Genomic DNA, 19,316 nt, shown 5'->3' with positions numbered 1-19,316 from the left:
TGAGGCCCAGTAACATGTATTTTCACAAGAACTTAAGGTGATTGATTCAGATGCTAAAGTTTAGGAACCACTTTCTTACATTAATGTCTTGGTTCACTAAGGCAGTGATTTCAACAGGGATGCTTATCTCCAGGGACATTTGGCAATGTCTGGAGACATTTTTGGCTGTCACAACTGAAGTGGAGTGCTTCTAGAATCTAGTGGGTCGAGGCCACGCATGCTGCTAAATATACAATGATACACAACAAAGAAATAGCTGGCTCTAATATCAATAGTGCCACTATTGAGAAACTGCACCAGGGAGTGCAAAACTTCAGTCACTTAACAAATATCCATAGAGCATGTATTGCATGAAAAAAAAGAAAAACATTCTACACACATTTACATGCATAGTCTAATGTATTCTCCAGACAGTACTTTTCTGTATGGTATATATGCACGCACACAACAGGCACACATGCACATGAGTGCACAGCCATGAGCACGCACGTGTGAATTTTTAAATATTTGATCTAAAATTGTGTTCCAGCAAACAGAACACAAGGAGAGCAATAAGTATGTATCGATAAGCTCTCCGACTGTCCCCTACTCTGTCAAATGCCCACTTTGCAGGTATAAACTTTGAAATGCATGCTCACAGAGCCAGAAAGTGGCAGGTCTAATACACATGTCCTATGCCATTTTCTCCATCTGGTCTTGGTAACCCTGTTCCCTACTGACTGATTGCTGCTAGTCCCTAAGGAAGTCTTTTCATTCATCTCCTCTGGCAAAATAACATTAGTTGATAGTCCCAACTCTAAATTAGTTACTTTACTACAGACTAGGTCATTTTAGTCAGTTTCCAAGAATATGCATGATCAGCTCTGAACAGGATGCAAAGGAGAAATTTCTTCTCTTAGAGGTGGATATTCTAGGCCAAAAATGAGCAGCTGCTCCTCTATAAATGAGAGATCAGCAAAGCGTGAGTAACCCTCCAAGACCTATTCTGTGGTTGTGAGGAAACTTTTAGTGATTCTTTAAAGTGCTTTACTATTTATCTAACTTCCAAATGACAGGCTATATTAGCATTATGGCTTCAAGGTAAATGGACCTACATGAATAATAAACACCAACCAAGAACTCTTTTTTCATAAGTAAGGCATTTTCAGTCAATCCCTCAGATAAATTCCCTGTCTAAATTCTATACCATTCTCTACCTGAAAAAAAATTAATATACACATTTCAGAATGGAGAGATTTAGTACTTAGGGTCATCAGATAATACGGTTTAGATTGTGGCAGTTTTTTATGATATGTTTGAGGTATGAATATGCAAAAGTTGGAGGAGATAGATTGGCCTAGAGCAGAGATCAGCAAACTGTGTGCCAAATATAATTGTTCCCTGTTTTTATAAATAAAGTTTTATTGGGACACGGCTGGACTCATTCATTGATGTATTATTATCTTTGGCTGCTTCCATGCTACAACAGCAGACATGAGTAGCTGCAACAGAGATCATGTGGCCTACAAGCCTAAAATATTTACTTTCTGGCCCTTTACAGAAAAAGTTGCTGACCCCTGTTCGTTGTGGAACTTTTTTTAAGTTTAATTTTTTTTAAGTTTTTTTTTTTAAGTTTAATTTAAGTTTAATTTAAGGTCACCTATGATTTTCTTTTTTCAGATTTTAATCAATAGTTGATGTACAAGTGGTCAGAATAACTCAAATAGGGTGAGAGGATCAAATGAGGAACCTGTAACATACCTGCTCATTCACCTATTGGAAGAAAGTTCTCTAGGTAGCCTCGGACCAACCTGGTTTGTGTTCTTTTCTCACTTGTAGTTCTCAAAAATAACTAAAGAATATACCAGAAATGTAACATTCTCAGATAAGGAGGAACTGGCTGGAATAGCCAAGTCTCTGTTCCACTTCCTACCAGAACAGGATGTCCTTCAACACTTCAGCTTATTGAGTCATATTGCCCCTGGGGTATAAAACCCAGAGTGGGGTACTTTCCAAGGTCCCTTAGGTGCAGTACGTGCACAGGTGGATTCCATTTGCCATAGGCAGCTTTCCTGAGCCTTGGAGAATGAGCTCAAAATGATTCCCCAGCTTCTGCTGTCCTTTACTGCCTATATGTGACTTGTGTGTGGGGGTGTTCTCTCTCACTAGGCTCAGGCATATTGGTAACCAGTGTACAATGAACCTGATTCACAATTATTATTTGGCAAATAGAACAATATATCTTAGATATTTTCTAATAAGTTATATAAAATAAGAGGATCTACAAAAGCTCACTCAATTAGGCATAAACTAATCTATCTTAGATCCCACTGAGAGTGGTTTATATACTAAAATCAACTCAAAATAACACTGTTTGAAGGAGGTCAGCTGCAGATGCAGAGAAATAAATTAGAGGCTTCTGGCAAAAGATGGTAGTAGCTAGGAATAGTCTGGTAATGGAGGAGATGGAGCAAAGTTATAAGTCATTAAAATTGTAATGATATCACATTTCGTTTGGAAAATGTATCTAGTTCTATGGGAGTGAATCAAATACATTTTAAAGGCTTGGGACTCTAAAAGATAGCACACATCACTCTGATGTTAGGATTTGAGTTTATTTTATTATATTAGATGGAATGAGAAAAGAGAATAGCATTGCAGCCCAATGAATATCTCAGTCTCCAGGGCTCCAATGCATCTGCAAAATACTTGAGTCACTTGAGTGATAAATGGTGATTAACTGAGCTCTCTCGGTTTACCTGCAAGGGGAATCTACTGTGTCATCATCTTGGGATGAACACACTGAAATAAGGGCTCATTTTTCCTTTCCTAGTTATCATAAACAAAATGGCCAACAGACTGTAATATATCAGCAGTGCCTGTCTGCACGTGGGGACTCTGGTGTGTGTGTGTGTGTCCTGGAGATAGTGCTGCAGTTAGGTCTTTCATCCAGGTGATATTTTATGGTTCTCTTCTTCGTCAACTATCACCCACTACAACATTCTCTCTTGGATAAGATCAGTAATTCTAATTCAAAAGGTGGGTCCTTACTTACCCCCAACCACCATAATAAAAGCAACAAAAATTTTTTAAAAAGTGAAATTTAAAAAGCTCCAGTACTTCGAAAAAAGGCCGGCCCTATGACCTCCATGACAGCATCAAAGCCTCTGTAGGGGAGAATGATCTGGACACCCAAGCAGAAATATGAAAAGGAAAGTGCTTTCCCTCAGTCCTGATGAAATTAGTAAAGGTGACCCCAAGCAGACACTGGAAAACATGTCACAGGGAGCTGACTCATACCTTTTGAAAAGAGTCCACCATACTAGCATTGAGAATTATTTCAAAGCTATGTGCTCTTTCGATAGAATAATTAGAGAACACATCTCCTAATTTTAATTTACTTGAATTCAGTATCCCTACCAAAGTATAAAGTGAGTAAGTTTCAGCCAAATGGAGAAATAGAAATGTCCCTGGAACAGCATGAGGTCATTGTTCCCCTAAGATATGGCAGGCACTGTAAGCCCTCTGGAAGCCGGTCAGAGCTTCAGATACACAAATTATCCATGAGTTTATAGTGAACTCATACACAATATGAAGAAGCATTTATTTTTTGACATTTAAAGGGCACAAACATTCTTCTCTCTCTTCTTTATGAGTGAGCTACAATTTTGTTCATTAACATGACGAAGGTAAATGATGTCATTCAAGAGGCTGAGGAACATAATGCTAGAGAAATAGTTATTTGTAGATATGTTGCCATGTAAATGTGTGTGTGATTGTGTGTGTTTGTGTTTGAATAAAACCTTAAAACTTACACAAAAGTTAGTCCCTTTGACCCTCTTATTTTCTTTTAGGCAAAGTAATGGTGGCTCAGTAGAATCTAAGCACCTCTGTGTCCACTGGAGGTCATCTATAATCCAACTGTAATATCGTCCTTAAACAGTGGCAGAACAGTCAGTGGAATCCTGAGTCTTCACTTTCAATAGGAAGCCTCTCAGGAATATGAATCTATTATAGACCTGACTCAAAACAAACTATGGATTCCAGCATGAATCAAATGTCAGAAAGATCTAGAGTCAACATTAGCTTTAGGGAATGGAACTGGTCATTAGGGATCACTGATCTAGGAATGACCCAAACACAGGAAAGATCTTCTAGCTCTGGCCTAGCCCAAAGCTCAATGAGGCACACTTTCCTATCTGGAGAAGACAGTTTTCTCTGCAGAAGGTCCAGCTTTCCTGGCCAGTGTGCACAGGTGTACAGAGCTGAAAACAACTTTACACACGTGCCTTCCAGAGACATCTTTGATAACCAGATTTATTCTCTAATTATCCCACAATCTCTCCATTATCTATTCAATAATAACATCAGTTTGTGTTGATTCATTTCAATGTTTTTTTAATGGAACAATTCTTTTTTTTTCCTGTCACACCATGAGCATTGTGAGGGAAGAAAATGCATCTTTATGTTCTATGTCTTCCTCCATATCAAAAGTTTAATAAATGTTCAGCCAAGCATCTGACACAATGGTGAAAGCACCTTTGCATTCTTCTGCTAGCAAGACAAGTGCATAGTGCAATATCTCCATCCATGGTTCATTTACTGCTTTTCAATTTTTGCTATGGTTTTGCTTTGGGAGAGAACTTTTGAAAATGTAGAGTACCACTACCTCTCAGGTGACCATAGCTGTTCACTTGTTTCACATAGTCTACCAAACTGTCTTCAGGAAAATTGCCAGCAGGCCTCTGTGGCCTGAGAGGAACTTTCTCTGTGGACCGGGAGGTGAAAGGCTTAGTGTTCATTACCAAGGGCTTCAACCTACTCTGCTTCTGTGTTTGGATTAGACTCAAATTGAAGTCCTAGAGGTGGACACTGATCCATCCTATTACCAGTTAATTGAACCACGTGATTCCCATTAAATACAACTTTAATCTTTGAAATATCCAAGATGCCAAGCTTTCAGAGAAACTCAGTTTCATTGTCTTGCCTTCTCCATTATTCTGTAATGCAGTGATTTCTGGTCAGTGTAGGGCTCAATCCCTGCCTCTTGGGAGGCCATCCCCTCACCACAGTCTTTTGGACCACCATGAGTTGGCTGTACTTCAACCACCATCCATTTCAGTTTGCACTAGACTTGCCAAATTCAGAATTTTAACATGTAGTCATGTTTTCCCCCAAGAAGTACCTTTATTTCTCCAAATCAATAAGATGTGTAAGTAGAATCAAGTCATAGAAATTTTGAAATCAAGTGTGTATTGATCCTATCCTCTGTATAGGGCATTTTGGGAGGCACATCAGAAGTTAGATAAATACATCTGGCATTCTTTAGCCCTCAAGAGTGTAAACGATACTTTGGTGTGGTGCATAGGGCAACTGCATTTGAATCAGAAGGCTTGGATATAATTCTAGTTGTTCACTTACTGCAGGTTTTGGGGAAAGCCACAAATACTCTGCACCCAGTTTCCTCATCCGTAAGACAAAGTCACATTGCTGAGCTTGTTGGGTGATGATGGAGATTAAATAAGAGATGTTTCTAATAACAATTTAAAAAAATATAGATCGCTGATGGGGACAAAAGAGAAATGAGAAAGAAGCACATGGTTTCCTAAATTGAGATATAAAAAATGAAGGAACGTTCCCATATAATATTTCCAAATAAATATCCACAGACAGTCATTGATAAATTGCCCAAGTAACCAGAGAAAGAGGATTCATTACCTGGCCTTCAGGATAGGAAATTCTTCTGTGTAGAAAAAACAAACTCAGTTTCTCCTATACTCTCACAACACGCTTCTGACGCTAGATGTGTGGAGGTTTTTCCCCACACATCAAGCAAGCAAGCAAGCAAGCAAGCAATCTGCAGCAGACACCAGCTGGATGTCCTCCAACCAAGTTCAATTCCTGCACTACCTGCCCGGAGATAGAAAAGACATTAGGCATGATTTCTCTCTCCTCCATGTAAAGATACAGCAAGAAGGTGGCCATCTGTCAGTCGGGAAATGGACCCTCAGCAGAAACCAAATTGACTGGCACCTTGACCTTGGACTTCCTAGTCTCCAGAATGGGGAGCAATAAATATTTGTTGTTTTTAAGTCACCCAATCTATGCCATTCTGTTATAGCAGCCAAGGCTGACTGAAACAATAAGATGTATTTAAGTGGATGCAGTTGAGAAAGTAAAGAGGAATGGGAGAAGTTTAGAAGATTGAAACTATTGGTATAAAAATAAAATTCAGTCTATAGAAGGAAAAAATAGAAAATTGGCCTAAAAATTCCTTACACTATCAACCAGCTTTTCTACTTTCTAAAACCTCACTAATTTTTGCCAAGACAGAGACATTTGAATGTTAAGGAAGACTCTCAGAGCTGAACATATACAAACACAGACAAGTAATTTTTAAGGTTCATAAACATGCTACAGCTTAGAGAATATCTTCTCTCTTACCCAAAGGGCCTTCCTTATACTCCCTAGCAAATATTTCCTTGATAATGGCAAAATTTCATTTATGGAATTTAGAAACTATAGAGTCAAAATAAATATAAATAAAATCTTTTATTTTCCAAACGTGCCTGGTGGACTCCCTTGCTTTCTGCTGTAGGTATCCCTCTTCCATCAGGAGAAGAGCTTTAGCTGTTTAGATGAACAGTGATTTGTGAGGCACTTACCCCGGATCCTGGCCAGAGGCTCACAGGCAGTCAGGGAAGACATCATCCAAGCAATGCTAGAGCTTCCATGTTTCAGAAGTTAGCGGTTATCTTACTGTTGCTAACTGGTGACACCCATGTTCAGTGATACTTATGGGTTCATTGAGGGAGTGATTAAGGTCAGAAGGAAGTGAAAACTTAAAGAAGAGGAGGGGAGATAATAAGGATACAGACAAGGAATTAGATTGAGTGTGGCTAAACTTATCGACCAGGCCTTACTTGAAAGAATACAGAAAAATGCTTCCCAAATCCTCAAACATGGATGCATCGCTTGCCACTCTACTTTGTATTGACTTCAAAAAACTTTCTGCAGGCAAATACCTAGAGGCAAACATCTTAGGAAACTAGCTACAAGCATAGACACATTCTTTAACAGACAGCATGATGCTTTTCTGGTTCCATTGCCAAAGGGTGACTGCTGATGAGCCACGCCAACTCTGCTCACCAAACTACCAGATCTATCCAGAGAAAGCACAGAAACAAGTGCTCAGAACATCTAAAACTTGAGTAGTCATTGCATACTGGCCTCATCTCCACTCTGTGAAGGGCAGATAGAGGACCAGAAGTCATGCCTCTACCACAGAGAGGCACAATACACAAACAGTACTAAATCTGGAAGGCACAATTATTGGAAGAGTAATGAAAATTATTTTGATTTGATTTTTGTTTGTTAATTATTTTTCCCAGTAGTTACTTATTAGCTGCCTTGTGTAATACAGAACTTACAAATTCAGAGACTTTATGCTGGATCGAGTGCTCACATAAGTTTTATTTTTGAGGGGTGGGTACTACATAGTATTTTTCTATGTGAATTAGTTTTCAACATTTTAAGATCAGATCTCTCGTGAACAGCTAGACTGTTCTTTTAAAAAATGGTAAGATTTAGTAACACAGAGCCAACATTTTCTGTAGGACAATCAGCCAGAGCTGATTGGGAGAGAAAGGCACAGGTTTTCCAATTCACCACAGTCCCCGCTAATTTCTGTTGCTCATCAGATGCAGAGGCTGAGTGTTGATTGACATTTATCATCAAGTTTTCTGTTTTTTGTTTGTTTGTTTGTTTGTTTGTTTTGTATAGTAGGGTAAGTAGGGAAGGGAAATACTTTTGCTACCATATAAGTAGCAACCTCTCTGAACCTCAATAAAGGATAGACTGAGAAGGCCACAGGATTCAAGAAAAATTAAGGAAAGCACAGGTTTTCTTATACTTCATTCCGTTCAAATAACTTGTCTGTCTCTTGCAAACTTTTTTGTTTTTTTAACCCTTAATATAACAATCACAGGCTTTTGAGTAGACAGGCCTGGCCTTAAAGCTTAACTTCATCACTTCCTATATGTTTTTGACAATATTATTTAAACTCTCTGAACCTCAATTTTCTCACCTTCAATGCTGAAAAAATACTATCTACCATGAGAGATTGTCATGAGGATAAAACAACATATGCAGGCATCTAGCACATACTAGAAGATGCTCAAGGAATTTTAGTTCCCTTCCTCTTTGAAGAGTTGGGATGAATTAAGCAGACCTGATCATAAAATCATACACACATCTGAAGTGCCTGCCAAAATGTAATGGCCCAACTGCTGCTTCAGAGAGATGGGTCGGCTCGAGGTTTTAATGCACTTTTCATAAACTGTGGCTCAACAACAAAATCTATCACTGTTAGGCAGACTCATAAGAAAGACTAGATTTAAATAAACTTGCTTCTCAACTCTTAAGTATTAACTGCTTTCACCTTGACTCAGAAACATACCAATAGGAAATGTACACTTAGCCAATAAACAGTAGGATTAATCAATGCCGGAAAAGATAATGATAATAAAATGCATTATTTGAAAGTTGCATGACAGCAGACCGTTCCGTATAGAAAGGTACATTTAAATTACATGGAAACACATTTTTAGTCCTCTGAGTTCATGCATCTATCTGCATGGCTATAACCATAAAGAAAAATTTAATGCAGGCCACTATTCTAGAGCTACCATTTAATTTTGAGTAGAAACTGATAGTGAAAAAAATTATTTTCGTTTATAACAGACTGTCAAATAAAAAATATTCATTGCAATATAAGAGCCAGAAAAACAAAATTGCCACTCTACCATGTTGAGGTTTAAGTGGGCCAATAAATCATAGCCCTCTTCATTGTGAAATCCAAGCCAATTGAGAAATAGACATAGATGAAAGGACCAGCAAACTTTACTGCTTGTGGAGTTGGATGGGAGAACGGATTGGGGCAACACTTAGACCTGGCCACAGATCAGTCTGCCTACACCAATTTCTAGTTCTCTTCTCTTTCCCTTTGCCTCCTACAAAGATGAAATAGGCCTGGATACACTCAGCCCAGGAAGAAAAGCCCTTTGGATAGGAAGAAGAGAAGAAAGGAGTCTCACTAGACATGTGAAGATCCTTCATCCAATCCCACCAACTAAATAAGGGAATAGAGAGAAGTTACAAGAAGTGTGATTCCAGTAGTTTCTTTTCAGAGAAGAGCAGTTGTCTTATAGCATAGTGTAGATGGAGAAACCATGCCTTCTGTAACGTACCAGAAGCCCAAGTCTACCCTCTTCAGACAATCCTGCCACCACAGATTGGCTTTTAAGAGGATCTGAAAAGCCAATCCACAGGCATCTACAGAGGATTTGTGACTTGGAGGTTGGTACATTTTCGGGAATGTCAAAATGTTCACTTTATGGTTATGTGGAGCACAGTAGCTGCCTCTGAATAACCAGCTCGCAACTACCACTGCTTCTGCTGACTGCTGAAAGCCTTAGCATCATGCAGCTGATGGTTTAGCTTTTTGGACATTGGCATGTGAGAAAAAACATTAGAAGAATGTTAAATATGACTTGTCAATAAATGAAATTGTAATTTTGATTGGTAATATTTCAGTAGGCCCGTGGAACTTTCTTTGCAACATGAACTTCTGCCTCCTTGCTGAGGGGCCCAGAGATCTACTTTGCCGTCATTTATGTCAGAGTAAGACTCTTTAGTGCAGCCCAACTATGCTGTCAACCCCAAATCCCAAGGGATACATATGATCACCATATTTATTGCAATGGCCCAGGCAATCATGATACCACTGCCTCTAATGAAACTAAAGTGCACATGTCATTTTGGAGATGCTACTTGTTCAGGCAGAGTTGCCTGTCAGCTGTCTCTGGCCAAGCAGTACAACCTGCAATTTAGTTAACAAACTGAGACATCATAGAAATCAGTGCTCTTAACAGGCTTCCTTGATTCACTTGGGTTTTACTGCCTGTCATACATATCACAAGCCTCCAGTAAAGTGGCACTGGTGGGAGGAGGTCCCAGTAGGATTGAAAAGACAAGGAAAAGAAAAGCAAGGAATTTGATGAGTTCAAAAGTGGAATCCAGCAAAACTATTCCTTGGTGCCAATAAATCTGTTGTTGCCAAAAGGGCAAGTTTCAAACTCTTCAGCCTGGTATCCCAGGTCCACCATTATCAGGTGCCAACATTTTTTCCCAGTATTGTCACCAAACTTTCTGAACCTTCCCTCCCATCCATAATTGTTGATTAGTCTAGCCACTTCTTTAGCAGGCATATATGGAACACCTTCTGTGTGCGAGGTATTATACCAGGCATTAATACCGACACGAAAAAAACTTTTTTTTTTTTTTTTGAGACAGAGTCTCATTCTGTCACCCAAGCTGGAGTGCAGTGGCGCATCTCAACTCACTGCAACCCCTGCCTCCTGAATTCTAGTGATTCTCCTGCCTTAGCCTCCCGAGTAGCTGGGATTACAGGTGTCTGCCACCACACCCGGCTGATTTTTGTATTTTTAGTAGAGATGGGGTTTCACCATGTTGGCCAGGCTGGTCTCGAACTCCTGACCTCAGGTGATCTACCTACCTCGGCCTCCCAAAATGCTGGGATTATGAATACAACTATTTTTAACTTTTAAATAATCCTTGTGCTGAGGCTCAGTCCCAGGAATGAAATGGATGGTGGCAGCTATCAAGAAGTGTGGAAGCTGGGCTGAATTCCAAAGGCTTATTTTAAGGAAGAATGGAATACAGGAAATCCAACTCACTAGAAAGACCTCCAGGAAACAATATATTTAAGGACAAAAAAAATATGGAATAAGAAAGTCTGCCTTTCAGTTAAAGTGATAAGGGAAGTCTTAAGAGCAGAAATGGGATTTAAACTCAATCCTGAACATGGATAGAATGTAAGTGAACACAGAGGAGATGGTCCAATGTGCATGCTATGATGTTAACAAGTGGACAGAAATGCAAGATACCTGAATTGGGATTTGGAATCCAGGAAACTTGAGTTTAACCCTGGACTGTTTCACATGAGTCGAGCAGCAGTGACCAAGTCATTTGGCCTGAGTATTAGTTTTCTTATTTCAAAAATGGTAATGAAACCACCTAGCCTACATACTTCACAGGATAGTTTTGTGGATCAAATGAGATAATATATGTAAAAGTGCTTGGTAAATTTTAATGCACAAAACACATATCAGAGAATCATTAGGTGCACTACAATAATTATTGACTTGATTTAAAATGTACACGGCTGTTTCTTCCTTTAGCTTTCACTTTGATAATTTTTAAAGGCTGCCATCTTAAAAACCTTCGATAGAAGTAGTAAATGCTTCATTTCATACTTATCCATTTCTTTCATCAGAGAAAATCAAAGTGCTTCTTGAGTATCATCTCATTAATCTCTTAGAGGGAGGTAAGTAAAGGGACACATATTTTGCACAGTTGTATATGAATCTCAGTTTTACAAATGGGAAAGCCTCAGATAAACTTCCTTCAGTCACAAAGTAAATCTAAACAACAGCCAAAAATAGATCCAGACATCTCTTTATCCAGTTCTCTGCTCTCATTATATGCATCCCCAAACCTTCTTCTCTCAGGAGATTTCCATGGACAGATCTGGCTTTCAAGCTCTGAAACAGGTAATTTTTTGTTTAACTATTTTTAGCCTCTGTTTCTTCATCTAGACAAACTAGAATACTTATAGAGATAAAAAATAGTACATATGTAATATTTATGAAAGAAATTTAGCCAATTAGCCATTACACATCAGATAAAAATTAAGGTTAATTTCATCTGTTTTACATGGGGTGAATTTGGTTTATAAAAATCTCAAGGGTAATTGTCCCAAAATATAGGGCATTGGGTTGATTTGGATAAATACTTAGATTGATCATTATTAATAAATATCAGAATTGCACCATCAATCAATAGAGATTTTTTGGCACACACTATGTGCAAAGAATTGTGTTGCAATCTAAAGATATAAAGATAAATAGGATACAGTGTGGGTATTCATTAAGTTTACAATTGGGTAGATAAGACATAGTCAAAATAGCTGTCAAAACATAGAAGGTGGTAAAGGCAATAATGGAGACAAAATTCAACAGGGTTTCAGTAGAAATTGTTGTTCTGCTAGGGAAAGCAAGGAAGGCTTCCTGCAAGAGGTGACTCAGAGGCTGGGTTCTGAAGGACATCTAGGATTTCAACAAATGTAGGAAACAGAAATAAGGTTGAGGAAATAACATTCTAAGCAGTGGGACCAGCACAGCAAAAAGCAGTAATTAAAAGAAAAATGAAGTCTAATCAGTGGGTTAGTTTGGATGGAATATAGTATACATTAGAGAGAAATGAATTTTACTGGATAAAAAAAGGTAGGTTGAGGCCAAATCATGTTAGGCTTTCAATGTTGTATTAAGAAATATAAACTCTCTTCAGTTGGTATTAGGAAGTCATTGAGCAAAATGACCAGAAAAAAAACCCAAAATCTTACATATATTTCAGTATGTTCTGAGCAGCTGGGGAAGAAGCAGAGGAGAGGAATTATAACAGATAAAATAGAGATGAGGTAACAGATGGCATGAGATCTCAGAAAAGATAAAAGGGCAGGAGGCCAAGGACCTAGGTAGACTCAACTGTGGAAGGTGATAAGCAAATTTTTCCTCTGAGACAGGAAGACAGGAGGAATAGTAGCAGCTATACTGTGATGTGGTGAGATAGCATAATTTGATATATATTTTAAAAAACACTATTGGATAATTTTTAGAGACATTGTAGAGGAGATTTAGTGAGTTGGGACTAAAGTGGCATCTTTGTGGTCTCTACGAAGCTTGTGATAAGAGGTGTACCCATGTGGTCTTGACTTTCCAAATGAGAAAGGATATGAGTTCACACGAATAACAGAGCAGCAAGCTGCTTCAGAAGCTAAATCATATGATGGCTAGTGAAATTAGCTAACAGAAGAATTTTGTTCTGCTGGCAGAGTCTTCTACTCAGAGGATATATATTTCTGTTCATGAAATGACGAATAATACCCAGCTTCTGACCCAGACATTTGTTACTTGCCTGGCTGCAAAGCATTTGACTTTGGGACCTCTGGGTTTTAGAAACTAAGAGGAAATGCAATTAGCTAGTACAGCTTCACAAAGAATAGTCACATCAAACTAATCTCATCTTCTTGAGAATATAGTTACTATACAGGAAATCAGGAGAATGGCGTGAACAGGGAATAAAAATCACAGCAAAGCATCAGATAGGTCTTCAGTGATATCTCTGAGGCCACCATGAAGAAAACTGAGGCAGGCTTACACATTATATACATGGTGTACTAAACAAACAGATAAGGAGATCTTGCAGGGCTGGCCACAGAACCATGTCCTTTACAACCTACCTGGTCAATATTTGTATCAGTGGCTTGAATTAAAAAAAAAGAGAGATATTGTTACAAGTTCATTCATATTGCATATGAATGTGATATGATGTATTGGAGGAAATGTATTGAATGACAGAATACAAATGCTGTGAAGAGACTTGGAAACAGAGAAAAAATCTCAACGAATGTGAATTAAGATGAATGTAAATTCATTTATGGAAAAGAAACAATTACAGTCTAAGTGTATAATTTGGATGGCTTGGTCAAAATGGGATTTCAGAAGAAGAGCTGTGGGGATACCACATGGCCAGGGGTTCAATAGGATCGCTAAGTGGAACAGAATCTCTATAAAAACATTCATGTCAGCTCTTGATTGATTAATAGAAGAGTGTTGCTATTGGAGACAAGAATGGTCTCTGTGCTCTGCAGGAGTCAGGCAAAATGCAGAGAATCCTAATTTGTGGTAAATACCCTGCTTTAATAAAGTCATCAATAGGCTTTAATTTGTCCACAATATTGTGTGATGAAAATGGCAAAACTTCGGAAAATACTTTTATGTCACCTGAGGAATGATTACAGAAACTAGAAAAGCAAGGACTTGGAGGGAGAAATGTGAACGCCACGATCACGCAGTATTGTCCCATAAAGAAAAACCACATAGTAACTTTTCTGAGTATAGACATCTAAGCAGTGGGAAGTATGCATAAGGAGGGATATTTTGAATAATGATAGACTTTTTTCTCCAGTAGAATGTTCCTATAATGAAGCAGATTGACCTGCAAAATGACAGGAGAACAACTGGGAGAACTCAAGCAACCACCAAAACTGTTTCTGTCTGGACTACTACCGCTGAGGAAGGAATTGCTGCATTTGGAGGGAGCCTTTGTGTGCTGCAGAAATGTACCATGAAAGACTAAGCCCTGGATAGACACTGTCCCTTCAGTTTGAGCCCCAGAAAAAAACATGCATGGAGCATATCTGAACCTAATCCCAGCCTGGAGCCAATCCTAGCTGACCTGCAGTCCAAAGGAGAGCCAACATGCTGAGCCCAGCGGAGACAAGCCAAATTTCAGTCAACCTGCAGGCCTGTAAACATGGGCGTAAATATTTGGTATGATAAGCCACTGAATTTCAGTGGTTTGTTATGCTGTGTCATTAGACAATAACGAATACACTCAGTTTTAGGAAATAAAAGACTCAAAACCTTTTTCTGATTGGTAATAACCTTCTGAAGCTGTGACCCAAATGCAAGAAAACGACCATGCAACTTTTACTCTATAGTAAAGAAGAGGCCGAGCGCGGTGGCTCATGCCTGTAATCCCAGCACTTTGGGAGGCTGAGGTGGGCAAATCACGAGGTCAGGATTTCCAGATTAGCCTGACCAACATGGTGAAACTCAATCTCTACTAAAAATACAGAAGAATTAGCCAGGCGAGGTGCTGTGCGCCTGTAATCCCAGTTACTCAGGAGGCTGAGGCAGGAGAATCGCTTGAACCCAGGAGGCGGAGGTTACAGTGAGCCGAGATTGTACCACTGCACTCCAGCCTGGGAGACAGAGCGAGACTCTGTCTCAAAAAAAAACGTGGAGATTATAATTTATTCTAAACAGCAACTGATAATATAGAAGAAAACTTAAGTGTTTAGCTTCCCTTAGCCTCCAGTAGAGGCTACTTACCTTCAAGCCCCTGGTAGTGTTCTCTAGAAACTAGACCATGGAAGTATTCTTTCCATTTAAGACTATCAGTCTCTTTGCTGTTAGTTAATTAGTGGTTAGAATTATTTTTGTTTCCTTTACATCAGGATAATGCTGTTTGTACTCAGCCTCACTCAAGAATGGATATGCCGTATCAAGTAGAACAAAAGTCACCAGCAAGCTTTCCATGCTTGAAATGAAGCCGAGAGAGCTTTTGAAGAGCATATATTTTGTAGGAAACTTAATTTCCTAGGAAGGCTAAAAACTTGTTTTCTTTATAGGAGCTAAATGGCATGGACATACTTTGAGTACTGCATAAAGGACTTTGCAAAGACACTCTTGGTAATCAACATAAAAAGAGAAAGGCCAAATCTTTAAAACTTAAGCAAAATGAGCAACAGCATCAAGATGATAAGAAATACATGGTTTGCACATCATGGTGCAAAAAGTGTTTCTTGGTAGTGGTCAAGATAGTGTGGACATTAGGAATGGGAAAACTACTCATTGCTTGTTTGAGCAAAAACCTTATCTCCCAATATAGATATGTATTTATTTGCCTGAATCTAAAACATTTAGATCATAGAATTTCTGAAAATAGCTGTATAGAAACAGCTTCATTCATTTAAAACCACATACAAGCAATCCTAACAATCTGCAGAATGTTCCTAAGCTATCACTGAAAGCAAAGAACTCTACCCCACAACTGGATTTATTGCCATTTATTTCAAAATCCAAGGAAAAAAAGTCAATTCACTACTTTAGAAAATTAAGTTGGCCTCCCTGGCTTATGTAAATTTTCTCTTCATTTCCTTATTTCATTTATTGGACAAATTATTGCTCTTTGCTTTCTACTCCAAAGAATTACACTATAGGGACAACAAGATGAACTGCCTCAACAATATTCCTATATGGATAACTGTGCCATTCTAAATGTCCACTTGCTGCATATACTGAAACCACTTCTTGGGAAGTCTCTGAAGCACCTGAGTCATTCATCTTTCCTTGGGGCTGATGGTGGGGGTGGGGAGGAGGGAGATTTATTATCGGAAACAGAAGCCAAAAGTTAGCAGCCTCTATTCAAGGTCACACCCAAAATAACAACACCTGATTCCATGGCTGCAAATGCTCTTTCCTTAGCCACCTGTAAAAATATTTATGACCTTAGCTACTTCGGGTTACTCAAACTGTTCCCAGCAGAAAGTTACTTTGCAATTTGATTCAAGAGGTTGGCCCTCAATTTGTTTCATCTTCTACAGCGAAAAAAAGTTCACCCAGCAGTCAAGACTGACATTCTCATTTGTGTGTTCTCCTTTCCTGCACTTCTTCCCTTCAACCCTTCACTGAATTCATTGATGGTGAAAAGTCTTAGTATAACAGTTAACAAAAATTAATCAGGACACATATTTAAACAACTCCATGAAAAAAAAAACAAAGCCACATTAGTACTCAACTACAACTAATCACAAAGATTTCTAGAGAACTCATCAACACAAAGAAAGGAACAACAGACACTGAGGTCTACTTGAGGGTAGAGGGTAGGAGGAAGGAGAGGAGCAGAAAAAAATAACTATTGGGTACAAGGCTTACATACACAGGTGATAAAATATCTGTAGAGCAAAGCCCGGTGACATGAGTTTACCTATATATCAAAACTTCACATGAACCTAAAATAAAAGTTTAAAAAAGTCATAATTGCTAATCTGTCCAATATCTCTTTAAATTTTGTCTTGAAATATCTGTAAGCATTTCAAATGGATTTTTTTTCTGTTATCTCTTTGGATGTGTGCACACATATCTCTAGGTGTGGGTAAGACGGAGAGGGTGGGAGTAATGGACAACTGGGGGAGTGTGTATGTGAAGGAGGCCCATGACATAGAACCGTATTACAGAGAGATGAAAGGGCAGGGAAGGGTGAGTTACCACCTTGCTTGTTCCTCCCCTGGCAATTCAGTTCTGTCCAAATAACTCTCGATTAATGCACCAAGCAGAAACATTTCACATTTCCTCCTTAAGATCATTCTGACAGCTCACCAGCTGTTTCCGTGCTATTTTTTGCCATGATGGCATGGGTAAGCCTCAGCGCCTTCTCCGTTACTCTGCCAACAGCAATGCTGCCTGCTGTTCAGTGCTCAAAGTCTGTTCCCCAATCCAAACTCTACCATCCTGTTCCTTTCCCACTCACCTTGCACAACAGTGATTTTAAGAGTCATTGATATGTGGTCCCTAGAGGAAACCTAGATGGTGATACTGACTGAAATGACTGCATGAAAAATATAGTTAGATAAAAAAATATGTTTTTATACCAAAATTCATTATTGAGAATGTATAAATACCTAATCATTACAAATTTCTATATCTTTCTTTAGTCATTCTCAACATTTGAAAACGGTGTTATCAAACAGAAAGAACCTGGGTATTACAGTTTGACAGACCTGAATTTTCAATTCCTTTTCTCCTCTGTTCTACTCATACGTCACTCTGTCAGTTTTCTCACCTGTAAAATGGTGTTTTGGGCTTTATCCAAAGAAGTCAGGAGACTCGAATAAGATCACATAAGTAGAAAAAGAACTCAAACTTAAACCTAGATTTCATAAATCCTAGTTCAAATTTTACTCTTTTAAAAGACCACATTATCAAGGAAAACAACAACAAAGGAAAGGAGCATTAGGTTCGATTTACATACAAGTCTAATAAACATGATTATTTGGTTTCCAGACTTACAGCATGTTATAAACCACAGGCTAGAAAGGAGGGGCATGGGGGACAAGTGGCAGGTGACAAATGCACGGATAATACAAGAGATGGCAATGTAGCTTTAAGAGAGAAAAACTAGTATAGAGGTATGGGCACGTATAATATAGGAGGAACTTTATAAGGCCAGGCACGGTGGCTCATGCCTGTAATCTCAGCACTTTGGGAGGCCGAGGCAGGTGGATCACTTGAGGTCAGGAGTTCAAGACCAGCCTGGCTAACATGTTGAAAACCCATCTCTACTAAAAATAAAAATATTAGCCAGGCATGGTGGCGCACACCTGTAATCCCAGATACTCAAGAGGCTGAGGCAGGAGAATCGCTTGAACCCAGGAGGTGGAGGTTGCAGTGAGCTGAGATGGCACCACTGCATTCCAGCCTGTGTGCTAGAGCAAGACTCCATCTCAAAAAAAAAAAAAAAAAAGAACTTTTCTATATCTTACATCAGTTTCTTAGAGCATCAAAATTACAACAAAATAACCTTTATAATTTAGCTCTGGGGTCAGGGACTCCAACCAGATCCAGAAGAACTAATAAGTCAGCTGATTTTCTTGATGAGCTACATGTTTGCTGTCATTCCCACAACAGTCTTCTCTGCAGTGATTGAGGACCTCCACCATGTCTGGGAGTGTGTGCAGGATTCCCCCCTTTCCTACACTGCTGGGTGACTGTAAGCTTTGTGTCCATCCTTGCTGCTCTCCCTCCACTATTGCTACAACCACCTCAAATATGCCGAGGTTTAAGGGAAGTGAATGTGTCTTTACAATGTGGTGGGGCTTCCATTCCTGGGTGTAGTATATTCAGGACACCCTGATTATGAACTCAAGGATAATAAGAATAATAACAATAACAATAATAATAATATCAATTCTTCTTTAACACTTGATCTGTGTAAGGCAATGTTCCAAGAACTTTTAGCATATTATGAATTTGACCTTTACATCAATCTATGAAGTAAACATTATTATAATATCCATTTTACAGACAATGAAACAGAAGTAGGAAGGGGTTACCTGATTTGCCCCAAATCACGCAGCTTGTAAGTGAAGGAGCCAGGATTTACACCCAGGCTTTCTGGCTCCACTCTCAATCCTTGAACAATTTTGACTTGTGTACCATTAAAACAGAACAACTCAATGCTTTATCATTTAAAGCAGTGTCAGCTGGTTACACAGTCTTACCCCTATGCTACATCCTAATCACCCACCTTCCAATAAGTAGCTTAGTCAAGTCATTTATCCTTTCTGAGCTTTAGCTTTCTCACTAGTGAAGTGAAGAGGACAGAGCAGAGGTTCTCAAGTGTTCTTTCCAAATTGGTCATCCATGCTCCTTTGGCAGAGGAGCCTAGACCTTGGGGTCTTGCTGCATCCCCCCATGGCCTTCTCCTTTCTCCCTTTGCAGTGATGGGCAGAGGACGGTGTGGATGCAATTGCCCTCCAGCATTTTACACTTCTTAGTAATATCTGAACAGTGATAATGCTTCCCTGGGGAAATACTCTGATTTCTAGAACAAGTCTCACATCTGTAATG

General features: G+C 39.0%; 1 protein-coding gene across 56 annotated transcripts in view, besides 1 other annotated feature; it reads right to left on the bottom strand.

The window, feature by feature from the left end:
• Nucleotides 1–19,316, bottom strand: part of NRXN3 (neurexin 3) — a 1,697,919-nt gene that overhangs the window by 212,352 nt on the left and 1,466,251 nt on the right. The window lies entirely within an intron of this gene.
• Nucleotides 16,789–16,958: an enhancer, noted in NCBI's record as "experimental_37460 CRE fragment used in MPRA reporter constructs". NCBI's record gives its function as "activates a minimal promoter by MPRAs in K562 erythroleukemia cells, with activity observed for both the introgressed and non-introgressed 14:80105410 variant alleles {active_cell/tissue: K562}" and the evidence as "EXISTENCE:reporter gene assay evidence [ECO:0000049][PMID:34662402]".

This window comes from Homo sapiens, chromosome 14 (assembly GCF_000001405.40).
Source record: "Homo sapiens chromosome 14, GRCh38.p14 Primary Assembly".
In the NCBI taxonomy this organism is placed as follows: Eukaryota; Metazoa; Chordata; class Mammalia; order Primates; family Hominidae; genus Homo; species Homo sapiens.
The sequence above is the reverse complement of the archived record's forward strand: the minus strand, read 5'-3'. Positions and strand labels throughout refer to the sequence as shown.